The sequence below is a fragment of the Homo sapiens genome, chromosome 2 (genome assembly GCF_000001405.40).
Source record: "Homo sapiens chromosome 2, GRCh38.p14 Primary Assembly".
NCBI classification, from domain to species: domain Eukaryota; kingdom Metazoa; phylum Chordata; class Mammalia; order Primates; family Hominidae; genus Homo; species Homo sapiens.
The window spans coordinates 43,732,417-43,755,413 of NC_000002.12; the positions used below are offsets into that span (position 1 = coordinate 43,732,417).

Consider the following 22,997-nt stretch of genomic DNA (forward strand, 5'->3'; position numbering starts at 1 on the left):
AAGTCTTGCAAATGACTCTTATCACTTCACTCACCAATGCCATGATTTTAAGTTTCTTGACCTTCTAAATTCCAGTAAGCTTCACCTCTGGCCTCCTTCATCATCCCATTTTCCATGTCCACACCTGACTTCACCATTCCTCACAAGTACGTCACATCTAAAAGCTTCAATTCGAACATCTCTTTCTTTAACCAGAATCCTAGCCTACAAGCTCTTATATTTTTTTACTCTTCCACTTTTTCTTCATCTCTAAGACCTTTGTTTTGAACCATTAGCTTTTTTTAAGATCATGATAACTGCGTCCTGGCTTTTCTTCCTTCCTTATCTAGTCTGGTTTGTTTCTATTAATTCTTGTAGTTCCTTGGGACCCATAATTCCATGTACTCTTCAGCCAGATCCCAACCTAGATCAGTGCTATGTTTTCTGCTGCCAGTATAACCAGATGTGCAATGCTGCAGAGCATCAAACAGCCATGTAGTCTGACGCCAATAAAAATTCAGGGTCTTCCTCTCTCACAGCCAACTTTCTGCCTTGTGCTTGTCTTTGGTCACATCCCCCTCAAACTCTCTACTTAAGAATACAGCAGAGAAACTTACCTTCTATTTCACTGAGAAAATTAGAGGACATCAGACATGACATGACCACCTCAAAGCCCTCCCCTTGCAGCCGGGCGCAGTGGCTCACGCCTGTAATCCCAGCACTTTGGAAGGCCGAGGCGGGCAGATCATGAGGTCAGGAGATCGAGACCATCCTGGCTAACACCATGAAACCCTGTCTCTACTTAAAAAATACAAAAATTAGCCGAGTGTGATGGCATGCGCCTATAGTCCCAGCTACTTGGGAGGCTGAGGCAGGAGAATCACTTGAACCTAGGAAATGGAGGTTGCACTGAGCCGAGATCGCACCAGTGCACTCCATCCTGGGCAACAGAGCAAGACTCCATCTCAAAAAAAAAAAAAAAAAAAAATCCCTCCACTTAATAGACAACCCTTTCTCCTCCACTCCTCCAGCCTCAGATAACGGTGGACCTTCTGTGTTTCCAAGTCTGGACTCTACACCAGGATCTTGGTACTTCATTTTTCCCTAGTCTCTTGGAGCTCCATCTCTTTCTTTTGGCTTTGTCTTGCCTAAGTTTCTCCCATCTCAAAAAATCTATTTGTTTATTAGATAATATGGAATTATTGTTATTTGTGGGGTCATGGATGGCTATAGAAAAAATCTTTATCAACTGGAGATCCAGCCTGAAGTATTTATTGGTAAAGTAGTATGATATACATTAAAATACTCCAGAGGAGAAAAAAGTAGAGGTGGGGAGGTGGTGAAGTTTGGAAAAATGCTGATAATTATTGACACTGGGTGATGGGTACATGGGTGATTATTATGCTGTTCTCTCTACTTTTATACATTTTTAAAATTTCTATAATGGAATGTTTAAAAATACCCACCTGTAGAGTACACCAATACCTAAAGCAAGAAAGACTATACAAGTATATTTGAAAATCTAGATGATGTGGTCAATTTTATAAGAAAATATAAATGACCAAAATTGATTCCACAGGAAAATGAAAATCTAAACAGAGGAGTTTACCAAACTTTACGTGTAGATAATTTCAATGCTGTTTAAATTGTCCCAAAGCATAGAAAAAGAAGGAACTTTTCTAAATTCAATTTTTTCTTTTACTTTTTACTTGGGACAATTTCCAACATATATGAGTAGAGAGAATATTACAATGAGGCCTAAAGTACTCATCTTTCAGATCTACAGTCATCAACACATGGCCAATTTTGTTTTATTCTCCCATTTCCCACTGCACCCTAACTTTGGATTATTTTGAAGCAATCCTCAGTCATTATATCACTATATTCTCTTTGTTAAATAAGTATTGCTTTCATATGAGAATGCAGCAAAGATTGAACAAAAATAATAAAATATTAGCAATTAGAATCCAGCATCATTTAAAGAATATTAAATCATTCAACTCAATAGCAAAAAACAAATAATCCAATTTTAAAATGGGCAAAAGATCTCAATAGACATTTCTCAAAAGAAGACATACAAATGGCCAACAAGTATATGAATAAATGCTAAGCATCGCTAATCATCAGGGAAATGCAAATCAGCATCGTAATGAAATATCATCTCACCCCAGTTAAAATGGCTGTTATCGAAAAGGCAGAAAATAACGAATGCTGTGAAGGATGCAGAGAAAGAGGAAAACTCATACACCATCGGTGGGAATGTAAATTAGTACAGCAACTTTGAAAAACAGTATGGAGGTTCCTCAAAAAACTAAAAATAGAACTACCATGTGATCCAGCAGTCTCACTGGGAGTATATCCAAATGAAAGTAAGTCAGTATATTGAAGAGATATCGGGATTCCTATATTTATTATAGCACTGTTCACAAGAACCGATATATGGAATCAACCTAAGTGTTCATCAGTAGATGAATGGATAATGATGGGCCGGGCCAGTGGCTCAGGCCTGTAATCCCAGCACTTTGGGAGGCCAAGGCAGCCAGGTCACTTGAGGCCAGGAGTTTGAGACCAGCCTGGCTAACATGGGGAGGCTGGTCTCTACTAAAAATACAAAATTTATTTTGTCTCTACTAAAAATACAAAAATTAACTGGGCGTAGTGGTGCATTCCTGTAATCCCAGCTACTAGGGAGGCTGAGGCACAAGAATCGCTTGAACCTGGGAGGTGGAGGTTGTAGTGAGCCGAGAGTGTGCCACTGCACTCCAGCCTGGGTGACAGAGCAAGACTCTGTCTCAAAAAAAAGAAAAAAATGTAGTATATATACACAATGGAATATTATTCAGCCATTACGAAAAACAAAGCCCTGTCATTTGCAACAACATAGATGGAACTGGAGAACATTATATTAAGTAAAATAAGCCAAGCACAGAAAGACAAATATCTTATGTTTTCACTCATAGGTGGGAGCTAAAAAAGTGGATCTCATAGAGGTAGATGGTAAAATAGAATGGTGGTTACCAGAGGCTGGGTAGTAGGGGGTGGAGGGATGAAAGGAGGTTGGTTAATGGGTACAAAAATACATTTATTTAAGAAGAATAAGTTCTAGTGTTCAACAGCACAGTAGGGCAACTATAGCTGACAAGGACTTAGAGTATATTTCAAAATACTTAGAAGAGAAGATTTGGAATGTTCCCAACACAAAGAAATTACAAATGTTAGAGGTAGTGGGTATCCCAATTCCCTTGATTTGATTATTACATGTTGCAGGCATGTATCAAAAAATTCATATGCTCCAATAATATATGCAGCTATTATGTGTCAATAACATTTTTTAATGTTAGAAAATATTAAATTATGACTGAAAGGGATTTATTCTAGGAAATCAAGGATGGCTAAGTATTGGGATATCTATTAATATTACTTATTATTAGGGAGATAATCATATCTGTAGATGCCGAAAAGGCATTTGACAAATTTAACATTTATAGAATAGCAATACATAGATACTTCAACATGATAAAATATTCTTGTTTTAGCTAAAAGCAAGCATCATGCTTTATGGAGAAATTTTAGAAACATTTCCACTAAAGTGAGAAAAAGACAAAGATATGCCCCATTATTTTTTAAATTTTTCAATTAAAGTATAAATTACATAAAGTTTGTTATTATTATTATTATTTAACATTCTGTTAGGGAACTAACCGATGTTATTAGGCAATAAATGAAAATATTTACAGATGGTATATTTGTATACCCAGAAAACCCAAAAGAACAAACTAAAAAACTACTACAAACAAAAAGAGAATTTGATAAGATAGTGAGAGGTACAAAATAAGCAAAAAACAAACGCTTTTATGTGTGCAAGCAACAACCAGTTAGAAGATAAAAAGGAAGAACTACTTTGGGCCATGATGGAGCCACAGGGACTGGATTTGCCCTGCCAGTGGTTTTCAGATGTTGAATGTAGGCAGTGTAGGACAGATTCTTCGGAAAAAACTAATGACATACGCCCTGTGATTGCTGCAGCTTACTGTCTGGAGAGATTCAAGACTGCTGTGCAGAGAGGGAGCACCCAAATAGAGCCTGGCAGTCTTCCTGAGTCACGGAGACAGAGTTCAGAATTTGAGAAGGCCAAGGTAGTTAGACTTCACAGGGCTGATCGGGCGCGGTGGCTCACCCTGTAACCCCAGCACTTTGGGAGGCTGAGGTGGGTGTATCACCTGAGATCAGGAGTTCGAGACCAGCCTGGCCAACAGGGGGAAACCCTGTCTCTACTAAAAATAAAAAAATTAGCGAGTTGTGGTGGTTGGTGCCTGTAATCTCACTACTTGGGAGGCTGACGCAGGAGAATCACTTGAACCCAGGAGGCAGAAGTTGCGCTGAGCTCTGTTCTCCAGCCTGGGCAACAGAGCAAGACTCCGTCTAAAAAATAAATAAATCAATCAATCACAGGGCTGAGAGGAGAGAGCTAAAGAGAGGGAGGGAGGGAGAGCTCCAGAGATTCGTGTTTTCATCTGAGAACTGATAAGCATGTGTGTATGTGCGGAAAGTACCTGAGGCTGAGGACAGAAAGACACAGGCAAAAAAATTCCAGCTCACACAGAGCTGGAAACAGTTTTCCCATCTTCTAGAATGGAAAAATCTTTGATACATTGGACATCAAATAGAGTGCACAGAAGGTGATTGCCTCTGGAATGGGGCCCAGATAGTCCTAAATGTAAGGCTGTTTTGGTCCACCCTAAGAAACTTAAAACAGACCTTGGAAGAACCGAACCATTTCCAAGTAATTTAACTGTCATCTCAGAGCAAAGCTAAAAAATGTTTAAAGCATACCAAAAAGTCCAGTGCCCAAGAGTATAACATTCACAACGTCTGCATCCAGTCAAAGATCACCAGGCATACAGAGAATCGGGTCAAGTATGACAATACAATGGGTAAGAAAAAGTAATCATAGAAACATATCTAGAAATGATGCAGGTGATGGTAGATAAGGACATTTCTGTGTATCTGTTGTCTACTGTTACATTTAAAATTTCCCCAACACTTAGTGACTTACAACATTTGCTATTTCACACAGTTTTGAAGGGTCAGGAATCTAGAAGCAGTTTAGCTGGGTGGTTCTGACTCATAGTCTCCTGGCGGTACCATCAAGCTGTCAGCGGGGGTAGCAGGCATCTGAAGATTGGAATGGGGCTGGAGGATTCCAAACTCTCTCACGTGGCTGTTGGCAAAGAAGCCTCAGTACCTCACTACATGGGCCTCTCCAAATGACTGCTCAAGACATGGCAGCTACCTTCCCCAGAGGAAATGATCTAACGGGGAAAGAGAGAGAGTGACCAAGATGGAAGTGCATTGTTTTTTATAAGCTAATCTTAGAAATGGCGTGCCACATGCTACCAGTCACACAGACCAACCCTGGTAGAATACAGGAGGGAATTAACTATGGATCTGAATGTCAGGATGTGGAGATCACGGAGGACCACTTTGGAGATTGGCCACCACACTTCACATGTTCAGGAAGGTAAAGGAAAGCATGAGCATTTTAAGAAGAGTAAGAGAAGATATTAAAAAGACCCAAATTGAATTTTTAGAGATGAAAAATGCAGTGACTAAAATGAAAAATATGCTGGATGAGATTCACATGTATTCTGAAGCTCTGTTATTAAGTATGTAGATGTTTAGGATTGTTATGTCTTCTAGATGAACTGACCCCTTTATCATTATAAAATGACCCTCTTTATCTCTGGCAGAATTCCTTGCTCTGAAATCTGCTTTGTCTGCTATTATTGTGGCGATTCCAGATTTCTTTTGATTAGTGTTATCATAATATATCCTTTTCCATCATTTTAAACAAAAACTACTGCTGAAAAGATATTCGATATAATTCATGCAGAATAAATCTAATCACTCCTCACCTTGAATATATCTTTTTTTGTTTAATTCAGACCTGCCAGCTTTTTATAAATGCTGCAGTTGACTCTCCTGCAATTGATTACCACATATCTTTAGCCCAGAGTGCTTTGCAAATCTGCCTGACACATCCTGAGCTGCAGAATGAAATTTGCTGTCAGCTTATTAAACAGACAAGACGAAGACAGCCACAGAATCAACCAGGACCATTGCAGGTAGATATTAATATTGATACATATACATGCAATTTAAAGTGTTTTTTTTTCTGATTGTAAGAATGATACACATTCAGCATAGACATTTGGAGAATACAAAAAGTGCAGAAGGAAAAATAGGTATTAATATTTTGATGTCTACCTTTTTGGTTTATTTATATGTTTATATATAAATGTGTGTATGTTGGTGTGTGTACACTCACAGTTTTTTATATTGCTGGAGTTACAGTGTGCATACTACTTTTTTAAACTATAGAAAATAATCGTTTCCCCTATATCCTTAGACATTCTTCAAAACATTAATGGTCATGTTAACATTAAGTACGATACATTTCTATATTTTTTCCTATAATAAATACCTCTGCAGTAGACATCTTTGAACCTAAATGAGATGGAGTTTCGCTCTTGTTGCCCAGGCTGGAGTGCAATGGCACAATGTCGGCTCACTGGAACCTCCGCCTCCCGGGTTCAAGCAATTCTCCTGCCTCAGCCTCCCAAGTAGCTGAGATTACAGGCATGTGCCAACACTCCCGGCTAATTTTGCATTTTTAGCAGAGATGGGGTTTCACCATGTTGGTCAGGCTGGCCTCGAACTCCTGATCTCAGGTGATCCGCCCGCTCTGGCCTCCCAAAGTACTGGGATTACAGGTGTGAGCCACCGCGCCCACCAGGAACCTAAATCTTGTGGACAGGTCCAGCGAATTCCTTTGAATTCATTTTTAGAATTTTCCTATATCTTCAACAACATTCAGTATATTTTAAATTCTTACCAGGCAAAAAAAAATATTTCACTATTGACTCAGGATGCGTTTCTTTATTAGTGCAGTTGAATATATTTTTCAGGTGTTTGGTAGTCATCTGTGTTTACTCTTCAATGAACACCTGTTTTTATCTTTGTGTATTGACTGCCTGTTAGCCACAGGATAAATCAGAAATTTCTTACCTTAGCATATAGGACTGTCGGGGTTGGATCTAGGTTTTGTGAGACCGAAGCTTATACAGTTTGGGAAATGCTCTTTAAGACAAAGACTTGAAAATGGATTACTTTTGCACATTTTAGAAATCATATGACCATGTAAACACAGTTAATAAGCCTTTCCCAGGACCTGTGCCCAAGAGGGAATCTGAAGCTTAAGCTTCATCTGCATCAAGAACACTTTGTCATCTGGCTCCACTGGCCCGCTCTTTCTCCACTTCCTGCCTCCAGCAGACAGTGAATGAATAAATTCGCCCCATCCTTCAAACACACTCCACCTTTGCAATATTCTCCACCATGCACCTGATGGTATTCCTGTTACCTGGATCCCTCCTCTTCCTTCCCTTCCGTAGACTTTATAGTCCAGCCTAAGCAACATATTCCCTGTGATGCCTTCCTTGACTCCACAAGAAGTTAGTCATTCCTTCCATTGGTTATGCTTTAAAAAGTTAATACGTGGTATTACCATGTTGTATTATAATTTACTGTTTAAATATATAACTGTCTCCTACTAGACTGTAGGTTCCTTAAGGGCAGGGACAATGCCTATTTCTCCCTCTTTTTTAATATAACGTTTTAAAAATGGCTGAAAATTATACATAGGAAACAAGGGCAAATAAGATCTCTATCCAACTTTTTTAATATAACGTTTTAAAAATGACTGAAAAATTATATATAACAAACAAGGGCAAATGAGATCTCTATCCTACTTTTACATTTATTTACTCTAATGAGTTTGTCTAATGCTTAACATTTTTTAACAAATGCAGTGTTTTATAGGATAAAGAAATTAAAAAAATTTTTTTGTTGTTTGAAGACTTTTTGTACCTTGTTTAGTGGTTGAGCATTAACCACCATGTTCTTCAGAAGAGAATTCTGCTGTAACATGTTTTATACTTCCTTGAAAAAATATAGAAAGGAGAATACAGAACAGAGCGAAGGAAAAATAAAAATCACATATATTGCTGCTACCTAAAGATAACCTCTGTTAATATTTTTATACTTGTCCCTTATTTAGGTATGTAGATACATACGTGTGTGTAGGTAGATTGGTTTTGATTTAGGGCATGTGTTTTCTACTGTTCTGCAATCTGCGTTTCTCAAAACTATTACTTGTATTTCAAGGAATGAGTAAATACGTAAGTGAAAAAAAAGAAACAATGTTCCTAATCTTTGAGTGTAACGTCAAAAAGGAGCACCTTGTCTGCTTGTGCCTTGGTTCCTCAGTTGTAGATAACCATACACACAACTAGATGGATCATAGATCTGACCCAATGTAGAGTTTTTTGTTTTTAACCTATGATAAATGCTGTAAACAGATCATGCATATGTGAAAGAAGCAAAACGTTTTTGGGTTAAGAGAGACTGTCATCAGCCCATTGCACTCACTCAGATGTGGATCTCTGACTGGCACGTGGTATCTAACCTGTGGTGCTTCTCCCTGCCCAGGGCTGGCAGCTCTTGGCACTCTGCGTTGGGCTCTTCCTTCCCCATCATCCTTTCCTGTGGCTCCTCAGGCTTCACCTAAAGAGGAATGCAGATTCCAGGTGTGCAGAATACTAGCCAGCTGAACTGTTTATGTGGCCTCTGAAAGTCTACGATAAATCATAAGTATTTAACGATCTGCCAGGTACATTTTCAGAAGAATGTATGAAACAAATATTGGTACAGGAAGCCTTTGGTTATCATTGATGTGGAGCTAGGAAAATATTTCCTTTGTTATGTTAAATCTCTTAGGGAAGATTGCAATAAATACTTGAAAAACTGACAGAGAATATTTTTAAGTGAAAAGTGCATTTGCATTTCAAGTATGAATGACTTAGCATTAGTGGGTGTTCATTCAATAAAAGCAACTATTTTGTTTCCTTAGTTTTCCCTTTTACTATTTCTCTGCACATTGAATTCTTTTATGTGAAAAATTTCCCCCATGGTCTTCCCTCCTTTTCTAATTGTATGTATTTGAATTACTTCAGAATTGTTACTCCTTTGAAAAACACATTTAAAGTTCAACTTCCAGAATGGCTTTCTTACATTGGGACCCAGGTCACTCAGCCAAGGCTTATCCAGGGTCATTTTGTCCACCAAGAGGTTTGTGTCAGGTTGCTTAAACTCTTGGACTAAAGCAAACACAGTAAAAGAAACAAACAAATAAACAAACCCAACTTGGAAGCAATAGGAAAATATTCTACAGTTCATAATACATTGTGGGGCCTCTGTGATCAAGGTCATCTGTGACCAAGGTCAGGTAATTTCAGTTGCAGTCACTGAGGAGCCCCGAGACCAAGGATCTGCCTACAGGGCACTTGAATACAAACATATTTGACAGGTGTTATCAATCTGCTTGAATAAGCAGTAAAATTTATGTATAACAAACAAGGACAAATAAGATTTCTATCCAACTTTTACATTTATTTATTCTAATGAGTTTTTCTAATGCTTAACAGTTTTTCACAAATGCAGTGTTTTTTATAGAATAAAGAAAGAAAACATATTTTTATTTTTGTTTGAAGATTTTTTTTTTTGAGGCAGGGTCTCACTCTGTCACCTAGGTTGGAGTGCAGTGGCATGTTCTTGGCTCACTGCAACCTCCACCTCCAAGGTCCAAGTGATTCTCCTGCCTCAACCTCCCAAGTAGCTGGGACTACAAGCGTGCGCCACCACCCCCGGCTAATTTTTTGTATTTTCAATAGAGACAGGTTTTCACCATGTTGACCAGGTTGGTCTTGAACTCTCGACCTCAGGTGATCTGCCCACTTCAGCCTCCCAAAGTGCTGGGATTACAGGCATGAGCCACCATGCCTGGCCTGAAGACATTTTTTTTTTTTTACCTTGTTTAGTGGTCAAGCGTTAACCACCATGTTCTTCAGAAGAGAATTCTGCTGTAACATGTTTTTATAAGTTACTCTGTACTATTCTTCATGCAATTGCTTTCTTTATATTTGTTAATATTAAATCACTGTATATTGACTTGTGACTGGTAATTTTAAATTCAGCTTGTGACTATAATAATACAGTAAAGATGAAGAATGCTTTGTGGGGAGGTTTGAGTGAGGCAGTTACAAAAATAAAGAAGTTGGAATTTGAGGAAAGTTACAGCAGTTTAGTATTATCATTCAAAAAAAGTTACTGTCAAAATTAGCCTAATACATTGTGATAATGTACACGGATGCTTTCTTAATGGTTGCACATATTAGGTTGTCAATTAAATTTATTCTTAGATTTTATCTTAAGTTTTGTATTACAGGACAGAATTTGGAAAATATGCCATTTACTGCCAGCGTTGTGTAGAAAGAACGCAACAAAATGGTGACAGAGAAGCAAGACCCTCAAGGATGGAAATTCTTTCAACTCTTCTCCGAAACCCTTATCACCATTCTTTGCCCTTTAGTATACCTGTGCACTTCATGAATGGGATATACCAGGTAGGTTACCTGATGAAAATATGCTTAGCCAACAATCCTATGTACAACCTCTGTTATAGGGAACAGAGACTTCTCTGCTTACTTTTGTCAGCACCTGGCAGTGACAAACATGCAAATATATTAGATTTACTATCAGAACAGCTGAGTTTTGAAACAGTTTTGCTATAAAGGATTCACACTAATAACAAATCCATACTGAACCAAATAAGGGATGGGCTTCACTGCCATTATGATTCTGATGGACAGAAAAATAAAAAACACTTCGGTTGGGGCTTTTTCCCATCAGTACACCTCCTAGGTGTGGAAATAATTACTGATACTGGGTGTGTACAATTTTAGTCTCTTTTAAAATCTCCAAATCTCAGAAATTATCTGGGAAAACTTCACTGGGCCCTTCCAGTTCTCAGATCTAGATGCCTGCTTATTAATTGAAGCAAACATGTTCCCAAACTAGCAATTAGTCTTTGTAGCCATATGCCTTTTATCACAGAATTCAGATACTTAACTGCCTATTAAAGAAACAAACATTAAATACATAAAGGTGTTCATTTATTTAAACATATTTCTTGTTTATTTTCCATTTGATTAAAGATTGCATATTGTACTATAGTTCTTGGTTTGCTTCTAATGGGTAAGCATAATATCTTTGCAAAATATTTATAGCTGTCAACTGATCATTCTATTTTGGATTCATGTCTGTTGGCTGAAGCTGAGATTTTTGAGTTCTTCAGCAAGCTAATTTATGAGGTAACTTTGTTAATTTTCTCCAGAGGAGCTTTGGGAAAAAAAGTTGAAGCACCTAGAAAAATATGTTATCATTAATCATGCATCAAGTATGCTCTGTTTCATCCTTAAAATCTCAGTTTGAAACTATATATTTCTTATTAAGAGAACTGCTTTGTTATTTCTGTCTAGGTAGTTGGTTTTGACGCATCTACCACAGTGGAAGAATTTTTGAATACTTTGAACCAGGACACAGGAATGAGGAAACCAGCGCAGTCTGGATTTGCGTTGTTCACTGACGATCCTTCTGGCAGAGATTTAGAGCATTGTCTTCAAGGAAACATCAAGGTGAAACCAAGTCCTTTTCAGGAGCCAAGCCCAACGAACAGCAAAGAAGCTACTCTTTACAAGAAGAGTAAACTTTGCAAGAAGTTTAATTCAGGAGTTTTCCAAAACTTTAACCAATCTAATCTCCACGATAAGAAAAAAAAAATGCAGGACTTTGTTAAACCCATAGAATTCTTAATACACAATCTCTACATATACACATTCCATATTAAAGAGAGGAAAGGTGTTAGTAATGGAAATGATACTCTAAGTATTAGGATAATAAGGGTAGATATGTAGAAGTGCTAATAAAATGGCTTTCCATTTTTTTCCATTTATTCAGCAATACTTACTAAGCTATTTTATTGTATCCCAGGGGCTGGCTGGACTCTGTGGGGAATACAAAAGGACCAGAAATAGTCCCTGCCCACAGTGAACTTAAAATTTGCTTACGGAAGAGCAGCTTTATACACAGATAACCTTGAACTAGGGTTGAAAGTGATGAAAGTTTTGAGAGTGCTGTGAACTTTGCACAGAAAGAGAGAGTTTAAGTTCAGCATTGGGAGTTAGGGAAGGCCTGAGCTGGAAATGAAAAATGGTTTAGGAAACAGACCTGTGTCCGGGTGCAGTGGCTTACGCCTGTAATCCAAGCACTTTGGGAGGCCGGGTCAGGTGGATCATTTGAGGCCAGGAGTTTGAGACCAGCCTGGGCAGCATGGCAAAAACCCATCTCTACTAAAAATACAAAAATTAGCCAGGCATGGTGCCACACACCTGTAGTCCCAGCTACTCTGGAAGCTGAGGCACTAGAATCTCTTGAGCCCATGAGGTCGAGGCTGCAGTGAGCCGTGATCACGCCACTGCACTCCAGCCTGGGTGACAGAGCAAGACTGTCTCACAAAAAAAAAAAAAAAAAAAAGAAAAAGAAAAGAAAGGAAGAAAGAAAGAAAACAGACCTGTGGAAATGAAAAGGGAGGGATTTTAAAAGAATCTTTTCCAGATCATAGTAAAATAACTTTAATAGAGCTTCCATTTAGTAATGGCAATAATATATATAGAACTAGGCCGGGTGTGGTGGCTCACGCCTGTAATCCCAGCACTTTGGGAGGCCAAGGCAGGCAGATCATTTGAGGTCAGGAGTTCAAGACCAGCCTGATCAATGTGGTGAAACGCCATTTCTACTAAAAATACAAAAAAATTAGCCAGGCATGGCGGCGGGTGCCTGTAGTCTCAGCTACTCGGGAGACTGAGGCAGGAGAATCACTTGAACCCAGGAGGCGGAGGTTGTAGTGAGCTGAGATCGTGCCACTGTACTTCAGCCTGGGTGACAGAGTGAGACCCCATCTCAATTTGAAAAATAAAAAAATAAATAGAATTACAGAACCACAAGGGACCTTAGAGAAATAATGCACTTATTTTGCAAATGAGAAAGCTGAGGCCTAGAGAGGGAAATGAGTTACCCAAAATCAAATAGCTAGACCTGGGTCTAGACTCTTTCCATAAATTATATGTCAAATTTCTTTGGTATAACTTTAGTTATTAAAATCTTTTTGAACTCGGAAGGTGAAAAACTTGCTTCTTCAGTGACCAAATCATGGAAAAATCCCTGGAATCTTCTTGTTTCCAGTTTCAGGCAGTCCTACATTACAGTTCCTTTTTGAGTAAAAAATGCGTGGCCACAGTCCAAAGTTAATGTGTGTCCAAAAGGATAAGTGGACCAAATAGCAATTTATAATTACATACTAAACTCAGAGCCGCACAGAGGCTGAAAACAAAAAGCTTGAGTATATTTGGTTTGATCATATTAATTGAAAAATTTCAGTCTGCAGCACACTTGTCTTCAAAAAATGTTGATTTGAAAAGTACTGTAAATCTCAGTTTTCCACTTCCTTTCTAGATTTGTGACATTATTTCCAAATGGGAACAGGCTTCCAAAGAACAGCAGCCTGGAAAATGTGAAGGTACAAGGACTGTTCGTCTGACATACAAAAACAGGTGTGTAATACTGCATCCAGATGCCAAAGTATGAGTATACAATATGTTCTAATAATGCACCTACTATTTACCTTTCTATTGAATGCCTTAAAAGTTATTTATTTGTAAGTTTGTCTTTCTATAAATGATAACTCTGTTTCTATAGGAAAAAAACCTTGTCACATAAAATTTTGTTTCTAATTCTAGTCTCTTAATGTCATAAAGAATTATATTTTATGAAAATATGCTTTTAGACAAACATCAGAAACACTAGGTCTCAGCTGAGCACGGTGGCTCACGCCTATAATCCCAGCACTTTGGGAGGCCAAGGTGGGCAGATCACCTGAGGTCAGGAGTTCAAGACCAACACTTTGGGAGCCAACATGGCAAAACCCCGCCTCTACTAAAAATACAAAAAATTAGCCAGGCATGGTGGCATGTGCCTGTAATCTCAGCTACTCAGACAGCTGAGGTGGGAGAATCACCTGAGCCCAGGAGGTTGAGACTGCAGTGAGCCGTGATTGTGCCACTGCACTCTACACTCCAGCCTGGGCAACAGAGTGAAACCCTGTCTCAAAACAAACAAAAAATACACACACACACACACACGCACACAATCAGAAAAACTACAGAAAAAAATAGTTGCTCTCTTAGAGTAGTTGATACAAGGATGCATTTTTCACTTTCATAATTTCCTTTAACAGTATTATTACATTTTTCATAAAGACTGAATACTTCAATACCCTACTACAGATCTGTAGTAAGAAGAGATACCTATGTTTCTTTGGGAGGCCGAGGCAGGTGGATCACGAGGTCAGGAGATCGAGACCATCCTGGCCAATATGGTGAAACCCCATCTCTACTAAAAATACAAAAAATTAGCCAGGCGTGGTGGCGGGCACCTGTAGTCCCAGCTACTTGGGAGGCTGAGGCAGGCGAATGGCATGAACCCGGGAGGCGGAGCTTGCAGTGAGCCAAGATCGCACCACTGCACTCCAGCCTGGACGACAAAGCGAGACTCTGTCTCAAAAAAAAAAAAGAGGAGATACCTATGTCCTATGTTTGCCTCAGTCTTTTGGAAGTCATATATTCTTTATACTCATATTTATTCCTTCTCAGTCTTTCATTCTCATTTTTCTCTTTCTTTCTGTCTCTCTCTCTCTCTCCCTCTCTCTCTCTCTCTCTCTCTCTCGGTGTTCACCGAGCTTCAACTGTAAGGCCTATCACTTAGCTGGATGCTATAAATAAAATTGTAATAAATACAGACAGACCCAGTTCCTGATCTTTTGGAATCTACGGGTTAGTGAGGAAGACTATTGTTGGGCATATCCTCACTCTAATGAGTGTGTAATGACACAGTATGTTCTCTGAAGAGAGAGAGAGGTACTGTGAGGGCACACAACAGTGAGCCTGACCTAGACGGGAGACCTCGGGAGGCTTCTTTGAGGAAATGATGTTTATACCAAGTTCAGAGGGAGATGGAAGTGGGAACATCAAAATGCATAGAAAAGAATGTTCAAAGGCCTGTAGATGGAGGCTGCTTAGCTTGTGTCAAGAATTGAGAAAATGCCGGAGACTCCGGAGCACACACCTTCTCTACAGATAAAATGGTAATGTACTTTGGCATGTAGTCAGGAACCAGATTTCCTTTCTTTCTTTTTAAATATTTTCATTTCTTTCATGTATTAGCAAAAGGTAGTACTTAATAAACACTGTTAACTGACCAGCTCACATTAATTATAACAAAATAATGGTATTTTGCTGGTTTTATTTGAGTCTTATACCCTGTAAATTAAGGAATCTATAAAATGTCAGACCCAGAGCCTGGTGGAATTATTGGAGTGGTACTCAGAGGTCTCTTTTTGGAAGATGTTCAGACTTAAAATTGGAATGTAAGAATTGAAGGCACTGTACAACATAAAGAATGTAATTTTGATCCACTTTAAAATTTCTTGTTCTAATAGTCTATCCCACAGAAATATGCAGATAAGTGGGCAGAGTATTCCAGTATGTCACAGTATCTTCCTTGTCATGTTTTTGTCATATTCTTTGTCAATGTTTTTGTTAAAAACTTGGGACAGACACTCACATGTTTATTACTAGGGAGAACAGTTAAATAAATATGGCACATTCATATTTTGGGCTCTTCTCTCATCCAGTTGGCCACTTAAAGGGCCACCCAGTATTTGAACAGACTCTGTTGATCTGAATAAATGGTGGTTGTGAACACTGGAGCTTCTTTATTCAGGGGCTCATGAGCTGTGATGATTTGCCAGAGGTTCAAGTAATAAGAAAGTGACTATTAATCTTTGGTGTCTAAGATTTTAAAATCATGCATTCCTAGAGATAAGCAATATTGCATAGATATTGGAAATCTAATAGGCTTCATCCCTGGAGGGACCTGTTTCCCTTGAGGGCAAACTTTATCAAGGTATCAGTGGCCCTTTGGTGACTGGGAAGGACAGCAGGCTAGAATATTTGGACCTTCTAGATTATTATTGTAGTTCTGTTTAATCTGGAGCAGTAGTTCCCAACGTGGGCCCAACACTAGCAGCCTCAGGACCACGTGGAACATGTTAGAAATGCAAATCATTAGGCCCCACTTCAGACCCACTGAGTCAGAATTTCCGGGGGTGGAGCCCAGGAGTCCCTGTTTTGACAGCTCTCCAGATAATTCTTACACGTGCTGGGTTTTGAGAAGCACTGACCTAACGGTCCTCATTGCTGCCCCTGCCTCTTGGCCTCAGCCTTTGTGGAAGGAGCCAGCTCCTGGACCTGGCCTGCCAAAGACATTTATGGAGAAGAGGTTCAGGCATTCTTTTTTTTTTTTTGAGACAGAACTTCACCCTTGCTGCCCAGGCTGGAGTGCAATGGCACGATCTCAGCTTACTGCAACCTTTGCCTCCCAGGTTCAAGCGATTTTCCTGCTTCAGCCTCCCAGATAGCTGGGATTACAGGCGCCTGCCACCATGCCCAGCTAATTTTTGTATTTTTAGTAGAGACTGGTTTTCACCATGTTGGCCAGGCTGGTATCAAACTCCTGACCTCAGGTGATCTGCCCGCCTCGGCCTCCCAAAGTGCTGGGATTACAGGCATGAGCCACTGCGCCCAGCCAAGACTATTCCTAATAATCTAAACCTTATGAATGCTTAATACATACCAACTCTGAGTATGATGGCTATGATTGGAACTGAAGTGAAATTTGGATAAAATTTGGATATGAAAGACAGGTAAAAATAATGCTTCAAGTCTAACAAACATCACAAGGAAGGACAAAGAGAGTCGTGAATAAAAATTTTTTGGTTGACAGTTGGTTGAGTTTATCCAAAGACCTGGAATCAATAGAAAGGAATGTCTGGGTTGCCATAAGAGGTTGTGGAGTCTTCACTTCAAGTTGTTCTGCCTTCCTAGACCAAACCAATAGATTTCTTAAGTTATTTGATTGAAGTCTCAGCCTCCGTAAAATGCGTAAAACCAAGCAGCTCCCCGACCACCTTGGGTACATGTTCTCAGGACCTCCTGAGGGCTGTGTCACAGGCCATGGTCACACATATTTGGCTCAGAATAAATCTCTTCAAAAATTTTTTTTTAAAAGAGAGAATTGTGAATAACAGATGATGATTACCTTGTTTAAAAGTAAAACCTCATGACAATGTCTTTGACAGCAGGAAAAAAATTAACTCAACTGAAAGGCTTGATTTTTAACAGAACTCTGAAATGGCTGGATAGCCACAGCTATGAGAAAGTAATGTTTCTAAACATGGCCGTGCTTTGCCGGTGTTTATAAGTAGCTTAGACAATGAGCCCTAATTTCTAGTGATACAGTTAGGAGGGAACCTTGCTGTGACCTGTCACACAGCCAAGGACCTGATTCTTCATCTGCCAAGCAGCAGGGTAACAAACAAAGCTAAAATATCAATTCTCTTTATCATGGAATTTTAAATGGATACTTAACAAGTGATGGAATTTTAATTATTTAGATTCAGGTATGAAAGATCTAATTAACAGGTTTTGAACTTGTTCTCATAGACAACCGTTGGCAACTAACATTTAAATTCTATTCATAGTTAAGCTTCTTATTTAATTTGATTTCTCACTGTGTTTTTGAAGTTGTAAGAGCCAAGGCATGTTTTTAACAAAAGAAAACTGGCCATAGCCAGAAGTTTAAGCCAAGAAATGGAGTTTATCCCATTTCTCCTAGCTATGTTCACACCAAAAAAAATTCCAGGATCAAGAGACTCTCATGTGGACCAGGCACCGTGGCTCACGCCTGTAATCCCAGCACTTTGGGATCCTAGGCAGGCGGATCACCTGAGGTGAGGAGTTCAAGACCAGCCTGGCCAACATGGTGAAACCCCGTCTCTACTAAAAATACAAAAATTAGCTGGGCATGGTGGCATGCGCCTGTAGTCCCGGCTACATGGGAGGCTGGGGCAGGAGAATCGCATGAACCCAGGAGGCAGAGGTTGCAGTGAGCCAAATCGTGCCACTGCATGCCACTGCACTCCAGTCTGGGTGACAGAGCGAGACTCTGTCTCAAAAAAAAAAAAAGAGAGAGAGAGACTCTCATGATTCCAGAGACCTCTGGGGAATACTACTACTGGTACTCCTACTACTACTAACCCTCATTTGTTGAACATTTACCTAACATCAGGCCTTATTCTTAACTCTTTGTATGCATTCTTACATAATCCTTACAACCCTTTGAGGTACTATTATTATTTCCATCTCACAGATGAGGTAACTGAAGCTTTAGAGAGTTAAGTCACTTGCCTAAGACTATGAAAGGGAATTCTTCAGGATTTTTGGCAAATAATTCCTGTACTTAGCAATTCTCACGTACCATTTATTTGTCCATTCATGCCATCTACCAGTGCCAAGACTTGTTTGAAGCCTTGGGAATTCCAAGGTGAATAGAGTTTCCTTGCCCTTTAGAATCTTCCAGTTTATAGGGAGAGGCAGACATGAAGTCTTAGCAATGCAATCAGTGCTGTAACAGGAAGAATGTAGCACAGGAGTGAAGAACATGGGCTGGAGACAGGCTGCCTGGGTTAGAATCCTGGCTCTACCACTTACTATGTGGCCCTGAGCAAGTCACTTAACATCTCTGTGCCTCAGGTACCCTGTATGTGAAACGGAGGTCAAAATGACTCCCACCTCTAGGGTTGTCTGAAGGATTAAATGTTGGCAATTGTAAAGCACTTGGTTCAGAGCCTGCCACATAGTAAATGCTTTGTAGATATTTGTCGTTACCATGAGTATGACGCATACGTACAAGAGGTTGTAGGGACATAGAGGAAGACTTTGCAGAGTGGTGACTTCTGAGCAGATGACTGGAAGTTGGACGCCACTGAGGCAGGAAGAGAACAATTGCAGTTTTAGTAGAGTATAACCAGTAGACCATGGTGGACTGAGGAGTGAAGGAAGGGTGAACAGAGAGAGATTGCAGGCTTTCCCCCCAGTAAGTTTACAAGAGGATGGGAAGGGCAACAGTAGGAAATAAATGCTCTGAAGAATGAATATGGATCCAGTTGAGGGCAAGCAAAAGGATCGCCCAGTGGTGCTGAGAGCCCTGCTGAATTTGGAAGCAGTATATTTGCGTAGTGGTACTGGTCCACAGTGACGCAATTTCCATCCCACAGTATTCAGCTTCCTGGGTGTCCAATGAGGAGGTGGAGATTTGGGAATACCCCCGCGAGCTAATCTAAGCCTTGCCTGCTGTCATGGAAGCCCATTCTGTCTGCTGCAGGCCTCTTTAGGATTTGGAAGCAGCTGAAAGCTGGCCATATTGTGAGAGGCTTAGATCACATTCCTCTAGTGCCTTTCCTATTCAAGCTCCATGGATTTGATTTTTATGACTTCTTGGTCATTTTTGTTCCTCTTCAAATTCTCCCCAAATCCCTGGATAGCTATTGGAGCCAAAACTGTTTCATTAGGGATTTGAGCCCATGGTTCATGTCCAGTATTGTTTCTCTCTCTCTCTCTTTTTTTTTTTTTTTGCTAGTGATACTTCCTTTTCCCCTGTCAGGCTCAATTGTGTTGCCTGCTGGGAATAAGAGAAAATGCACTTAAGCTCTTCTTGCCTGTAACCATTTGGTTCTTTTTCTCCCCTTAGCCATATTACCAAACCTTCCAGTGGTAACACTTAGCTAAACTCTAATGGATTACAGTGATGAGTATGATATACTTCCTAACTTCAAGTAGGGAGAATAAGCTATGCATACAAATGTAAGCATGCCAAAAAGAAAGGCTTTCATCTTAAATTTTCTTCTCTTTGTTTCATACGGCTTTGCTGATATCATTTTGGATTTGTCATCTGTTTCTGTTGCCCAGCCATATTCTACTACCAGTTTAACAATATAATCCTGCATTATTTGTCTTTGTGTAGTCATCATAGATTAAAATGGAGCTTAGGATTTTTCTGATTTGTAAACTGGGTAAAGAGGAAAGAATGAATAGAATCATGGGGTAGGAGGAGCTTTTCAAAGTATACCCACCCATGCTTGCCCAGAGATTCAGACCTGCTGCCCTCCCCTTCCCTGCTATTTGAGAGAATTACTGGGAGAGATACTGTAAATGATAGGGGTGTGTCCTCTCCCACAAGTGTGTAGGGGGAAGAAAAGGCTGAAAATGCAAAGTTATAGCCAAACTGAGCACACACCTAACAGTTACTGTATCTAAATCTCTCTTTTCCAGCCACTGTGTTGTCATGGCAGTATTCAGGTGTGTCAAGATGTTGCTCACCCACCCCATTGTCACAGCATTTAGAGCCGTTACAGCACCTGTGCCTGATCTGCAGCCTGAAGTCAGAGCCCCACAAATCTCACATATGAATAAATGACACAGTGAATAAATAAAGAGAGTCACTGATTTGATGAAGACCCCCCTAGGCAGACAAAAGCCATGTTGTGTTTCAGTGAGTAATAGTGATAACATGTAAACTATTTTTGAGCCCCTAAAGCTGCTTATCAGATTGTGGCCAAAAAGTCAAAACACACTTAAATCTATAAATATTATCTTTCAGATTCCCAGAGAAAACTCACCTTCTCCCCCTCCCCTTATTTGATGTTGATTTGGGGGTAGTTTTGAGTTGAAACCTTCACTTCCTTTTCTGTGCTGTGTCCAAGGTATTCAGGAAGGATCATGAGGGTTTTGAAGACTGGGTTTATACAGCCCATTGAAATAAAGGCCTGTATCATACATTCCTTGCAAGAGAGGGCATATTTAATTTCGCTTGATGTCTTAGGTCCTTCCTCAGGAACATTTAAGGATTTGGTGTTTCAAGGCCTAGAAAATTGCTTCATCCCTTTACTTCTACTTATATATTTTTATTTATATTTAAAGTGGATTTCTTATAAGCGCCATATAGTTGGGTTTTATATTTTATCAACTATGACAATCTCTGTCTTTTCATTGGTGTATTTAGACAATTGACATTTAATGTGATTCAGCGCCACCTCCAGCACTTCTCAACCTCAACCTCAAAGCAGTTTTTTCTTATTTTGCGGAAAGTACTAAATAGAACAGAAACAGAAGTCATTGACAGTAGTAGTCTAAGTTCATACCACTTAGAGTACTGTGTTAAAACAACCCCATCTCAGTCCTCTGGATTTATCTTTACTTTATTTCCTTGTAAGAATATAATTTAATGAGAAATTTACTCTTTTTTTTTACAGACTATATTTCTCAGTGCAAGCTCGTGGAGAGACTGATAGAGAAAAGTTGCTGTTAATGTATCAGACAAATGATCAAATCATAAATGGACTTTTTCCTCTGAACAAAGATCTGGCATTAGAAATGGCAGCTCTTTTATCTCAGGTAACTTCCATGTTATATGGAGTAATATATTGAAATAATATGATACTAATTTCTACACTGAATTAAACGTAAAATAATATACTTCAATAATTCTTTACATTCGTTTTGCTACAATTAGCACCTTAAAAATTACAGGCACTATAATTATAGTTTGCCTCTAAACTGCTGACAATTGCAATGATGTAGAATGAGACAGTATTCCATAAAGAGAACCCAGTTTCTTAATTATTTTGAAAATATATCTCTAGGCTTTGTATTTAATAAAGGAATTGGAGTGTAGAGCTGTGGGCTTGAAGATGTCATGCTGAAATCGCTTGGTAGTCTAATAGGAGTAAGTCCTTGAAAAGGCTAGAGCACTTTCTTTTATTTGCCTATTGTATCAGCTAGGATTAAGTTCAATCTTCTACACACACACACACACACACACACACACACACACACACACAAAATTAATACTGACTTAATCAGAATAGAAGTATATTTAGCGCTCACATAGAGAGCGAGGCATCCTGGCACCTCTGTGAAGCCATTAGGGTCATGGGCTTTATCCTGTTCTCTCTTCTGCCATCCCTAGGGTGTCATCACCATGGTCCTGGGAGTCTGCCAGAGTGCCAGCTAATGTCAGTGTTCCGGGCTTCAGGGTGGGGGAAGGGCTGAAAAGGGCATGCTCTCCCGCACTTGAGAAAACTTCTCAGCAGCTGCATAGAACGCCTCCATTCATGTCTCTCCCATCAGAATTTAGTCACATGGCCTTGCCTACTACCTACCAGGGAGTCCGGGGAATGTGGTCTCAGCGGGGTGGCAGTGTGCCCAGCTAAATTTAAGGTTTTTCTTAAGAAGGAGAGAATGGTCATAAGATGCAACCCATAGTCTCAACCACACCCAAGTCTTTGCCTAGGTTAATTAAGGAAAATGTTAAAGCAACTCTGCCATATGGCATCTGGACCAAGGCTTAGATTCCCCAGGGTCTTTGGCCTATGGCTCTTCACGCTACACTCTGTCCCAGGACATCTCAATCATTCTTTTTATTCTATGCACCACCTATGCCAGTGTTTCCCAGATCTTTTTTCTTCAGTTCGTAGTTTTTTTATGGGCTCCTTAAAATCAACTTTTTTTTTTTTTTTTTTTTTGAGACAGAGTTTCCCTCTTTTGCCCAAGCTGGAGTGAAGTGGCACAATCTTGGCTCACTGTAACCCCCACCTCCCGGGTTCAAGCGATTCTCCTGCCTCAGCCTCCCTAGTAGCTGGAATTATAGGCACTCACCACCATGCTCTGCTAATTTTCGTATTTTTAGTAGAGACGGGGTTTCACCATGTTGGCCAGGCTAGTCTCGAACTCCTGACCTCAAGTGATCCACCTGCCTTGGCCTCCCAAAGTGCTAGGATTACAGGCGTGAGCCACCGCGCCCAGCCAAAATCAGCATATTGAAAACCAAACTAATCATCGTCCCTCCTCTGTGTTCACATTCTGTCTCCTCTTTATGATACTGCCTCCACCCGGTCCCCCAAACAAGCTTCACACCTGGGAATTATCATGACTCTTCCCTCACTTTGGCCCTTTTCCACCAGTCACCACATCCTGCGAATGTGAACTCTTAGGGATGTTTTAGTCTGTTCTCTCCTCTGTATGCTGACTTCTGTTGCTAAGGTTCGG

The 22,997-nt window shown here is 39.8% G+C and overlaps 1 protein-coding gene across 9 annotated transcripts in view, besides 1 other annotated feature; it reads left to right on the forward strand.

The window, feature by feature from the left end:
* Positions 1–22,997, forward strand: part of PLEKHH2 (pleckstrin homology, MyTH4 and FERM domain containing H2) — a 130,728-nt gene that overhangs the window by 95,157 nt on the left and 12,574 nt on the right. For 4 of the 9 annotated variants that reach the window (NM_172069.4, XM_017003351.3, XM_024452695.2 and 1 more), the window contains 6 exons: positions 5,925–6,104; positions 8,530–8,627; positions 10,325–10,502; positions 11,418–11,573; positions 13,450–13,547; positions 21,203–21,344. In NM_172069.4, coding sequence (NP_742066.2) covers positions 5,925–6,104; positions 8,530–8,627; positions 10,325–10,502; positions 11,418–11,573; positions 13,450–13,547; positions 21,203–21,344 — 852 coding nt within the window. Of the gene's footprint in view, positions 1–2,150; positions 2,278–5,924; positions 6,105–8,529; positions 8,711–10,311; positions 10,503–11,417; positions 11,574–13,449; positions 13,548–21,202; positions 21,345–22,997 lie in introns of those variants that run through there. The other 5 variants (XR_001738621.2, XR_001738620.2, XM_047443340.1 and 2 more) reach the window with 5 other exon arrangements.
* Positions 13,817–14,058: a silencer, noted in NCBI's record as "fragment chr2:43973372-43973613 (GRCh37/hg19 assembly coordinates)". NCBI's record gives its function as "represses an EF-1alpha promoter that drives an FKBP-Casp9 reporter gene in an ReSE screen in HepG2 liver carcinoma cells {active_cell/tissue: HepG2}" and the evidence as "EXISTENCE:reporter gene assay evidence [ECO:0000049][PMID:32094911]".